This window comes from Homo sapiens, chromosome 22 (assembly GCF_000001405.40).
Source record: "Homo sapiens chromosome 22, GRCh38.p14 Primary Assembly".
In the NCBI taxonomy this organism is placed as follows: Eukaryota; Metazoa; Chordata; class Mammalia; order Primates; family Hominidae; genus Homo; species Homo sapiens.
Window position 1 is genome coordinate 50,014,856 of NC_000022.11, and position 12,547 is coordinate 50,027,402.

The 12,547-nt window shown below is 52.3% G+C and overlaps 1 protein-coding gene across 1 annotated transcript in view, besides 1 other annotated feature; it reads right to left on the reverse strand.

Moving 5' to 3' along the window:
• Positions 2,446–2,505: an enhancer, noted in NCBI's record as "active region_19296". NCBI's record gives its function as "activates an Ori minimal core promoter by ATAC-STARR-seq in GM12878 lymphoblastoid cells {active_cell/tissue: GM12878}" and the evidence as "EXISTENCE:reporter gene assay evidence [ECO:0000049][PMID:35858748]".
• Positions 3,720–12,547, reverse strand: part of TTLL8 (tubulin tyrosine ligase like 8) — a 39,724-nt gene continuing 30,896 nt past the window's right edge. The window contains exon 14 of the mRNA NM_001350317.3: positions 3,720–3,936. Within this exon, the coding sequence (NP_001337246.1) occupies positions 3,929–3,936 (8 nt within the window). The 3' untranslated portion in view covers positions 3,720–3,928. The remainder of the gene's footprint in view (positions 3,937–12,547) is intronic.

Genomic DNA, 12,547 nt, shown 5'->3' on the forward strand with positions numbered 1-12,547 from the left:
ACCCTGGGCGGCGCCGAGACTCGTCGGACGAACGCGGGAAGGAACGAACCAGCGTCCGCCCGGGACCCGGGCTGGAGCCTTCCCCAGAGCGGCTCGGAGGGTCCGGAGCGGGTGCGGGGGTGCTGGGCACGAGGTTCCCAAGAAAACCACGGCGAGGACGCGGGTTCACCACAACAGCGCTGTGTTCTCGGCCTCAGCTCCGCGCAGGTTTCCACGGAGACGCGCGTGGCTCCGGGTCGTCGTCCTGGTCCCCGCGCCGGTCCCGACTCACGGGGTCCGCGGGCTGCAGCTCCGCCCGCCGAGCCGCACGAAGGACGCGCCCTGCAGGACCGCGGCGCAGAACGAGCGGCAGCGCTTGCAGGGCCCGGCGGGTGGCAGCAGCCCGCGGCACACGAGGCAGGGCGGCGCTCGGGGGTCCCTCGGCAGCCCTGGGGAGGGAGGGGCGCTGAGACCGCGTGCGCCGGCCCCACATTCCCCGGCCGCGCCTCCCTCCACCCCGACAGCACTCGCCCGCCCCGGCGCGCCCCGGGACTCCCCACCCCCTACAGCGCCTTCCTCCACCTGCAGTCGCGTCCCCGGGCCCCGCCCACCCCGCCCCCCGCCACCGCTCCTCCAGCCCACTGACCTTCCCACACCCCCCGGGAACCCTGGACTGCGTCCACAGACCCTGAGCCCACAGATCCCTGAAACCTCGCCCCTGTCCTCTCCTACCCCAGCCCACCCCCGACCGCGCCCCAGGCCCCCTGACTGTGCCTAGCGCCCCTTGACCTCGACCCCAGGTCCCCGGACCGCACCCACCCGTCCCTCAATCCACACCCACCAACAGGCGACGCCCGCGCCCCTCAAGGCCACGCCCCCAGGCAGGCCCCCCAGGGTCACCCTTATCACCTGCAAGACCAGCCCCAGGTGGCTCCCAACTCGCTCCTGCATGGAGCCCACCTGCTTCCCCCAGCTTTCGGAAAACCAAGACCTCCACTCAAACGCAGGGGGGCGGGGGTAGGGTGTCGTCCCTCTGGGATGAAGGCTCTGCGGATGGGAGGTCCCCTTCCCCACCCCCCTCACCCTCCCTAACGCCCCTCCACCTGGCCCCCCACCCCAGAGGGGCAGTCCAGCTCTGCCTCTAGCTTGTCAGCCTCTCTCAGCCCTCCTCCAGGTGAGTCCTGCCTAGAAGGACCCAACCGGCCAGGAGATTTGGAGAAGAGCAGCCCCCACCCCAACTCGTCCTGCCCTGCTGTGCCTGGGCTCAGGTTCAGATGCCTGGTGCTGAGGACCCATCCCCACTGGGCCAGGACCAAGTGGGTGGTGGGTTCAGGACGGTGCCTGCAGGCGAGGGCCAGCAGCATGCTGGGCCAGCCACAGAGTCCCAGGATGGGTCAGCAGCTGGAGGGGTCAGGAGGGAGGTGGGAGTGTTAAGACTGGGGGTGCTCCAGGAGCCACCGAGTCCCCACAAGAGGCTGCACCCAGTGCAGGCCATCTGGACACACTGGCACCTTCGAAGTGGGCCTGGGCTGGGGCTCCTGGTGGAGCTAGAAGACCTGCTACCCACAACCTGTGGTCAGACCTCACCAGGGCCCATGGGCAGTTCTGATGCCAGGAGCTGCCGGAGGAAGCACACCCCAGGCCCACCATCCCACGTGGTGCCCGTGGTCTGGCAGGCGGCCACGTGGTGCCCGTGGTGTGGCAGGCGGCTGCAGACCGTGCCCTCTCCTGCATGGACTCAAAGGTGGCAGCCGTGATGGGTGAGAGCAGGTAGCTGCCGTCCACCGCAGGGCTGGCCACTCAGCAAGGCCACCCCCTGCATGGGAGCTGCTGCGTTTTGAGAACTTTCACGCAGTTCCTCGGAGCGTCACAGGATAGGCAAGGCTGGCAGGTGTGACCACCATGTGTCCCTTTCATCCGAGAGGCTGGGGCCTTGGCCTGGCTCTCACTGGCCTCCAACCGCTGTCCTTGCCCTGGGGCTGTCCCGGGTCCCTGGCCAGCCCTTCTCAGTGGGGTGAGCCTGTGCCAAGCCCCGTCCCCCATGTACTGGGGCTGGTGAGTCAAACTTCAGGTTGCCCAGGCCAGGAAGGACTAGGGGAAGGCCAGCCTGCACACTTGCTGCAGCTATAGCTGGTGGGGGAGGGACAGAAGGAGCCCCAGGGTGGGGTAGGGATGTGGGGTGAAGAGGGGACTCCCTGGTTTTCCTAGCCGCCAGGGCTGTAGGTTCCCAAGCAGCCACAGCCCAGCCCAGAAGTGCAGGCACCACCCTGCTGGGGCACCCACCGCCCACGGCAAACTCCGAGCCCCAGGCTGAGTCACTCTTCCTGGGGGGCTGGGTGGGGAGAGCCCCCAGTGCCTATGCAAAGCAGTCCTTGGCTTCCGGGAACCTCGGAAGGGCTGGGCCAGCTTGGCCCATAGGACAGGCCAGGGCCCACGTGGCACAAGCAGGGCATGAGCAGCAGGAAGAACGAGGTGGGAACAGCTCCCACTCCCCAGGGCTCTCATCCCAGCGGAGAGACGCACGGAGGCCGGGCACAGGACTGGGAGGTCAAATCTGCCAGGGTGGCCCAGCGCAGCAGGCCAGGTAGCACTGCGGGGCAGGGCCTTGTCCCCCAGGCACCCAGGGCCTGATGGGACCCACCGGGGTGCCCAGAAAGTGTGTGTCCAGTAAGTCGGGGCAGAGGCTGGGCCCACCCTAAGTGAAGGAGGAGGGGACGTGGTGTCTGCGGCTCTCCGTGTGTCTGTGCGTGATTAATGGAGCATGCATGAGCTAACCGAGCAGCTGGTGTGGGGCCTGGACCCTGCTGAGGGAGGGGAGGCCCAAGGCCTGGGCCCCAACCCTGTATGGAGGCCAGGGCTGGGGTGAGACTCATTGTGGGGTGTCAGCAGGCTCCGGGGAGCCACTAAAGCCCATGGGGTGCACTCAGTACCTGGGAGTCTGGGACCCAGACCAGCCCTTCCAGGGAAAACCACCAAATAAGGGCATAAGATAGGAAAAGCATCACAAAAACAAGCAAAAGCAGCAGGCAAGACGGTAAAGGAGGACCAGGTCCAGGCCAGGGAAGGTGAGTGAGCCCAAGGAGAGGGCGCTCTGAAAGGTGCCCGGCCCCGAAGCTCCTCCCTCTGAGACTTTGCCACCAGGGCCACCTGGAGCTCTGGGTCCCAAGGCCCTGGAGTGTGGGGACAGAAGACACCCCATGCCCCCAACAATATGCAGCCCCAAACAGCTGGGTGCAAGGGTGAATCAAAAACAGCAGGGTATGGTGCACACCTGTGGTCCCAGCTACTCAGGAGGCTGAAGTAGGAGGATCGCTTGAGCCTGAGAGTTGGAGGCTGCAGTTGGAGGCTGTGACTGCACCACTGCACTCCAGCCTGGGTGACAGAGTGAGATCCTGTCTCAGAAAAAAAAAAAAAGAAAGAAAAAAGATCAAATAATTTTATTAAAAAGTAGAACTTCTAAAAATGAAAACTTTAAGAAATTAAAACTTCAATGGGTTGATAGCATTCTGAAATGAGCTGGAAGACAGGCGAGGAGATATTTTTAGAATGCAGCACAGGCAGCTAAATAAATCAAACAAAGAAGTGGGAGACTAAAAGATACCGGGAGAGAGAGAAGGCTTAGCAAACATTTAGTTTGTATTCCAAAGGGAAAGAGACAGAACGGGGTGGAGGCAATATTTAAAGACATAATGGCTGAGAGAGTCCCATAATTGAATAATGACACCAGCGCACACATCAAAGACATTCAAATTCCAGGTTGAATAAGTAAAAATCAAACTGAACACTCAAAAGCTGGCAGATAGAACTGACAGCTCCCCTTGGAGAGTGATGGCTGACTCTGCTGATTTTCCCAGAGCCACAGCAAAGACAAGATGGTGGAAAGACGTATTCAATGTTCGGCGGGAGAGTGGCTGCAACCTGTACTCCTGCTGCAGAGAATCTGACGCTGTCATGAACCTGTGTGGAAAAGATATTGACAGACCAAAAGCTCATCCGAACGTCCCATCACTGGCACCTTCCTAAGGGACACTGTCTTGAGCAGAAAGAAAGTGGTTCAGAATGAACATGGTTGGAAGTCTGAGACTCAGGAAGAGTGAAGGGCAAAGAGGAATGTATGTAGTAAATCTAAAAACCACTGGCTGTGCAAGCGATGATGATAATCATGCCCAGTAGACTGTTAAAAACATTATTAAACAGGCTGACAGCAATAGCAGGAAGTCAGAAGGGAGCACGGGACTTCACATTTTCCAGGCTTCAAAGTCGATATATTGCCAGGTGGGTATAAGTGTGACTTCCTTCACTTTAGATTTTGATAAGTTTAACGTGCAATGAGTAATTTGTAGGCAGTGAGTAAAACACCAGAAACAGAGTCTGTAACCTCCAAACCAGAAGAAGGAAAAACCAAAATGAGAGAAGAAGCGTCAATGAAAACTAAGGCAAGAACAGAGAGAAAAAGGAACATAGAATAGATGAGATCAACAAAAGTTAAATGAAATCAAATGGTAGGTACTGTGGTCATCAGGCTCCAAGGCAGCCCCCAGTGATCCTCACCCCCAGGCAATCACGCATGTGTGCTCCCCTCCTGTCTGGATCAGGATTGAGGTGCATGGCCAGTAGAATATAGGGGCAGCAGGGGTATGTGATGTCTTGGGTGAGGTCATAAAGACCTCATGAATCTAGTGGTCTCTCTTGAATCACTCACTGGAGGAAGCCAGCTGCCATGTTGTGAGGACACTCAGCCCTGTGGAAGGTCCACGTGGGAGGGACTGATGGGGGGTGCACCATCAGGGAGGTGGGTCCCCAGCTCCAGGCAAACCTTCAGATGAGGCTGCCTCAGTTCACACCGGGACTGAGCTTCAGAAGCATCCCTGAAGCAGCACCATGCCGAGGAGCCCTTCTCGGACTCCTGAGCCACAGAAAATGTGGAGGATAAATGTTTGCTTTGCCACAGCTCTGCTTTGCAGTGATTTCTTATGCAGAATCAATCACCACAGAATCCATGTACATGATTACATTAAACGTAAATGTTACATGCACTGGTTAAAAGACACTGGCAGTCCGGAATTTTATGCAGAGAAATATGTAAAACATAAGCTTATATAATGATGAAAGAAAAAACATACCAGGAAAATCCTCACCAAAATAAAATTAGTAACAATCTGAAAACTCTAAAGCAAGAACTGACAGAATTACATGCATCTTATCATACTTTTCTTAGTAACTGATAAGCAAACTAAGAAAATGAAATATGTCAACAACACAATAAACAAATCTGGCCCAACTCATGATACTGAACAATTTCAGAATTACATATTATTTGCACCAAGAAATATTTACAAAAATTGATGACCAAAAGCAACTGACAATCATCTAATGACTCACAATCCTCCATCTGACATGTACTCCTCCATCTGACATGCACTCCTCCATCTGACGTGCACTCCTCCATCTGATGTGCACTCCTCCATCTGACGTGCACTCCTCCATCTGACGTGCACACCTCCATCTAACGTGCCCTCCTCCATCTGATGACGTGCACTCCTCCATCTGACGTGCATTCCTCCATCTGACAATGTGTACTCCTCCATCTGACGTGCACTACTCCATCTGACGAAATGCACTCCTCCATCAGATGATGTGTACTCCTCCATCTGACATGCACTCCTCCATCTGACAACATGCACTCCTCCATCTGATGATGTGTACTCCTCCATCTGACATGCACTCCTCCATCTGACAACGTGCACTCCTCCATTTGACGTGAACTCCTCCATCTAACGACGTGTACCCCTCCATCTGACAACGTGCACTCCTCCATCTGACAACATGCACTCCTCCATCTGACAACGTGCACTCCTCCATCTGACATGTACTCCTCCATCTGACGATGTGCACTCCATCTGATGTGCATTCCTCCATCTGATGATGTGTACTCCTTCATCTGACGTGCACTCCGCCATCTGACAACATGCACTCCTCCATCTGACGTGCACTCCTCCATCTGACAACGTGCACTCCTACATCTGACGACGTGCACTCCTCCATCTGACGTGCACTCCTCCATCTGACGTGCACTCCTCCATCTGAATGTGTACTCCTCCATCTGATGATGTGTACTCCTCCATCTGACATGCACTCCTCCATCTGACGTGCATTCCTCCATCTGACGTGCACTCCTCCATCTGACAACGTGCATTCCTCCATCTGATGTGCACTCCTCCATCTGACCTGCACTCCTCCATCTGATGATGTGCACTCCTCCATCTGATGTGCACTCTTCCATCTGACATTCACTCCTCCATCTGATGATGTGTACTCCTCCATCTGATGTGCACTCCTCCATCTGACGTGCACTCCTCCATCTGATGTGTACTCCTCCATCTGACGTGCACTCCTCCATCTGACGACATGTACTCCTCCATCTGACAATGTGCACTCCTCCATCTGATGTGCACTCCTCCATCTGACGATGTGTACTCCTCCATCTGATGTGCACTCCTCCATCTGATATGCACTCCTCCATCTGACATGCACTCCTCCATCTGATGACGTGCACTCCTCCATCTGATGTGCACTCCTCCATCTGATGATGTGTACTCCTCCATCTGACGTGCACTCCTCCATGTGACGACGTGCACTCCTCCATCTGACATGCACTCCTCCATCTGATGACGTGCACTCCTCCATCTGACGTGCACTCCTCCATCTGATGTGCACTCCTCCATCTGATGATGTGTACTCCTCCATCTGATGTGCACTCCTCCATCTGACGACGTGCACTCCTCCATCTGACATGCACTCCTCCATCTGATGATGTGCACTCCTCCATCTGACGACGTGCACTCCTCCATCTGACATGCACTCCTCCATCTGATGATGTGCACTCCTCCATCTGACGTGCACTCCTCCATCTGATGTGCACTCCTCCATCTGACGTGCACTCCTCCATCTGACGACGTGCACTCCTCCATCTGACATGCACTCCTCCATCTGACGACGTGCACTCCTCCATCTGATATGCACTCCTCCATCTGATGACATGCACTTCTCCATCTGACGTGCACTCCTCCATCTGATGATGTGTACTCCTCCACCTGACATGCAGTCCTCCATCTGACGTGCACTCCTCCATCTGACGACGTGCACTCCTCCATCTGACGTGCACTCCTCCATCTGATGATGTGCGCTCCTTCATCTGACATGCACTCCTCCATCTGATGATGTGTACTCCTCCATCTGACGACATGCACTCCTCCATCTGACGTGCACTCCTCCATCTGACGATGTGCACTCCTCCATCTGACATGCACTCCTCCATCTGATGACGTGCACTCCTCCATCTGATGATGTGCACTCCTCCATCTGACGACGTGCACTCCTACATCTGACATGCACTCCTCCTTCTGACAATGTGTACTCCTCCGTCTGATGTGCACTCCTCCATCTGACAATGTGCACTCCTCCATCTGATGCACACTCCTCCGACGACGTGCACTCCTCCATCTGACAATGTGTACTCCTCCATCTGATGATGTGTACTACTCCATCTGACAATGTGTACTCCTCCATCTGACATGCACTCCTCCATCTGACAATGTGTACTCCTCCATCTGATGATGTGTACTCCTCCATCTGACGTGTACTCCTCCATCTGACGTGCACTCCTCCATCTGACAATGTGTACTCCTCCATCTGACATGCATTCCTCCATCTGACAATGTGCACTCCTCCATCTGATGTGCACGCCTCCATTTGACAATGTGTACTCCTCCATCTGATGCGCATTCCTCCATCTGACGACGTGCACTCCTCCATCTGACGATGTGTTTTGATGAAAACCCAGCATCCCCTGTCACAGTTAAGAAACTCCTGCCCACTCTTAACTCTGCAGGTCCATGTAGGTGTGGAGCAGCAAGAATAAGACACAAAAGGCATAAAGATCATAAGGGAAGAAGTGAAACGGAATTGATTTGCAGGTGATGTGACTTTGTCGAAAACCCAAAGGCATCTACAAGTTGCCAGAATCAAGAGGTGAATTTACCAACAAGTTGGGACACAGTGTCCATGTACAAAATCAGGGCATGTCCCACATTTTAGCAACAAACCAGAACCAAGAGGTGAATTTACCAACACGTCAGGACAGAGTGTCCATGTACAAAATCAGGGCATGTCCCACATTTTAGCAACAAACCAGAACCAAGAGGTGAATTTACCAACACGTCAGGACACAGTGTCCATGTACAAAACCAGGGCATTTCGCACATTTTAGCAACAAACAATTGGAAAATAAAATTTCAAATACTATTGATAAAATTATCAAAATTTATTTGTAAAATATACTTATAAAAGTATCAAAAATCCATCAAATACCTAGGAATAAATGTAATGAAAACTATGCAATAATATTGCTTGGAGAAACTGAAAAAAACCTAAATAAACGTTGAGATACATCATGTGCAGGGATCAGAAGCCTCAATATTGTAGGATATCAATTCTCCCCAAAATGATCTATAGATTTGACACAATCTCAATAAACATCCCAGCAGGTCTTTTTAAAACTTAACATGAGGCTGGGCACGGTGGCTGACGCCTGTAATCCCAGCACTTTGGGAGGCCGAGGCGGGTGGATCACAAGGTCAGGAGATCGAGACCATCCTGGCTAACACGGTGAAACCCCGTCCCTACTAAAAATACAAAAAAATTAGCTGGGCGTGGTAGTGTGCGCCTGTCATCCCAGCTACTCAGGAGGCTGAGGCAGGATAATCGCTTGAACCTGGGAGGCGGAGGTTGCAGTGAGCCAAGATCGCACCGCTGCACTCCAGCCTGGCAACAAAGCGAGACTCCGTCTCAAAATAAATAAATAAATAAATAAATAAATAAATAAATACTTAACATGAAAATTCAGGCCAGGTGCGGTGGCTCACGCCTGTAATCCCGGCACTTTGGGAGGCCGAGGTGGGCAGATCACGAGGTCAGGAGTTCGAGACCAGCCTGGCCAACACAGTGAAACCCCATCTCTACTAAAAATACAAAAAATTAGCCGGGCATGGTCGTGGGCACCTGTAATCCCAGCTACTTGGGAGGCTGGGGCAGGAGAATCACTTGAACTCAGGAGGCAGAGGTTGCAATGAGCTGAGATCATGTCACTGCACTCCAGCCCGGGCAACTGTGCGAGACTCTGTCTCAAAACAAACAAACAGACAACAATAACAACAACAAAACCATTCAAATGACATAGAGTAGCCAACGCAATTTTGAAGAAGAAACAAAATTGGAAAATGTATACTATCATATTTGGTTTTGTTTTGTGTTTTGTTTTTGAGGTGGAGTCTCTCTCTGTCAACCAGGCTGGAGTGCAATGGCGCGATCTTGGCTCACTGCAACCTCCACCTCCTGGATTCAAGCAACTCTCCTGCTTCAGCCTCTTTACTAGCTGGGATTACAGGTGCCTGCCACCATGCCTGGCTATTTTTTTTTTAGTAGTTTCGCCATGTTGGTCAGGCTAGTTTCCAACTTGTGACCTCAAATGATCCGCCCGCCTCGGCCTCCCAGAGTGCTGGGGTTACAGGTGTGAGCCACCACTGTCGTATTTGAAAACTTCGAAGACAGTGTGGTATTGACATAAGGATAGGTAAATAGATTGTTGAAACAGCATAAATAATCCAGAATTCCTTCAAGAGAGTATATTTTTGACAAAGATGCCCAAGTAATTCAGTGGGAGGAAGGATGGTCTTTTTGATGATGGTGCTGGAACAACTGGACAGTCACAGGAAAATCTAAATTTAACGTTTTATTTAGGAAGCAAGAATTGCAATTCAGGGCATATACACAGACGGGGTGATCTCACTACGTCCGAAGAACAAAGACAAGGTTGGGAGTTTTCTTAGAAACATAAATGATCTGTGTTGTTTCACAAGCAAGCTCACCAGCAAGACCAGTAAGCACCAGGAGACCTGTGGGGCTCTGATGGGTGAATGATGGTGTGGGTGAAAGCACGTTCAGAGTCCCAGCAGGTTGTTTCAGCAGCTCGCAGATAAAACTGTCTTCAGATTACAGGGGCTGCTTTAGGTGCTGGGCTCACAAAATGTTTAATTTTTGGAGCAGGTGCCAGGTTATGTTCTGAGTGTTTTTTTCCCCTGGCCCCTTGATTCTGATTTAGTTGTGTAGCACAAGAGTGAGCCCATTTGTATCATTGGCTTTTACAACACCATACACAAGAATTCACTCAAGACGCATCATTGACCAAAATGTGAAAGTCAAAACCATAAAGCTTGTCGAAGGAATCACAGAAGAGCATTTAATGCCTGAGAAGCTGGACACCCTGTTTACACTGAGCGATTATTACATACCGCATGCCTGCATCATCATATTTCACGTAACCCACAAATATATACACCTACTGTGTACCCACAGAAATAAAAAAAAAAACAAATTAGCAAAAACTCCAAAAAAAAAAAAAAAGGCATCACTAAGAAAGCAAAAAGGCAAAAACCACAGACTGGGAGGAAACAGTCCCACTGTGCATATCTGACAAATAAATACACAGAAGAGGCCGGGCGCGGGGGCTCAGGCCTGTCATCCCAGCACCTGAGGTCGGGAGTTCGAGACCAGCCTGCCCAACATGGTGAAACCCCGTCTCTACTAAAAATACAAAATTAGCTGGGCATGGTGGTGCGTGCCTGTAATCCCAGCTACTCGGGAGGCTGAGGCAGGAGAATCGCTTAGAACCCCAGAGGCTTAGGTTGCCGTGAGCCGAGATCGTGCGGTTGCACTCCAGCCTGGGCAACAGAGTGAGACCTTGTCTCAAAAATAAATAAATTAAATAAATATACAGAATCTATAAAAACCACTACAAGTAACTAACCAAAGGCAAGCAACCTAATTTTACAATAGGAAAAAGACTTAGTAAGGCATTTTGCAAAGCAAAATATCTGAAAGGCTAATGAACAAAGTGCTCAGCATGGCTAGTCACCTGAGAAACACGAATTAAAACCACGATGAGATATCCGTACACCTACCAGACTGGCTAAAAACACAGCCTGACAATACCCAGTGTTGACCAGGATGTGGGGCAACCAGGACTCTCACGTGGCAGGTGGGAGTGCAAAACGCCACAACCATATTGGAAATGGGAAGTTTCTTCTAAAGCAAAACCCAAGCATCCTTCATGACGTAGTGGTGCCACTCTTGGACACACAGCCAAGACAGACAAAGGCACATGTCCCCGTAAAGGCCAGAACAGGATGATCAGAGCAACTTCATTTATCACAGTCCTACAGTGGAAGCAAGGCAGCTGTCCGTCAGCAGGGGACCAGGCGGGCTCTGGCACATGTGTGCAATGCAGTACTGTTATCACCGACAAAGGGTGCACACTCGTCACACTGTACAGCCGCTGCACCTCAGAGTGCAGGGTCAGACACGGAAATACACCCGCCACTCTGCACAGCCGCCACCCTGCACAGCCGCCACCTCAGAGGGGAGGGTCAGACACAGAAATACGCCTGCCACTCTGCACAGCCACCACCTCAGAGTGGAGGGTCAGACACGGAAATACACCCGCCATTCTGCACCGCCGCCACCTCAGAGCGGAGGGTCAGACACGGAAATACGCCTGCCACTCTGCACAGCCACCACCTCAGAGTGGAGGGTCAGACACGGAAATACACCCGCCATTCTGCACCGCCGCCACCTCAGAGCGGAGGGTCAGACATGGAAGCGCAGACCGTGCCGCTCCACCTGTAAGACGTGCAGGGGCCACCAAAGGTAATTGATGATGATTTAAGTCCAATAGTGATGATCACCATTTGGAGAAGAGACTAGAAAAGGCAGGAGGCTCCGTGTGGCTGTGTGGGTATCACACATGTGACAATCCATCAAGCTGTGTCTACTTACGGTCTGTCCTCACTGTAGGTAAGTCATACCTTCACAAGACCGTTTGGAAAGAGATACTATTTACTAGGCAAGAAAAACCACCAAATGGCTAGAAAAACATCTAATGAATGACATGCCAGACTTGCCAGACCTTCTATCCTGAAAACCACTGAGGAAAGTCAAAGAACCCGGTTAAATGAACCAGATCTGGATCATGGTTGGAAAACTTTATTTAAAAAAAAAGTCGGCCAGGTGCGGTGGCTCACGCCTGTAATCCCAGCACTTAGGGAGGCCGAGGTGGGTGGATCACCTGAGGTCAGGAGTTCGAGATTAGCCTGACCAATATGATGAAACCCCATCTCTACTAAAAATACAAAAAAATTAGCTGGGCGTGGTGGTGCGCGCCTGTAGTCCCAGCTACTCAGGGGGCTGAGGCAGGAGAATCGCTTGAACCCAGGAGGTGGATGTTGCAGTGAGCTGAGATTGTGCCACTGCACTCCAGCCTGGGAGACAGAACGGGACTCCGTCTCAAAAAAAAAAAAAATCTGCTGGGCGTGGTGGCTCACGCCTGTAATCCCAACACTTTGGGAGGCCAAGGTGCGTGGATTGCCTGAGCTTAGGAGTTTCCAACCAGCCTGGCCAACATGGTGAAACTCTGTCTCTACTAAAATACAAAATATTAACTGGGCATGGTGGT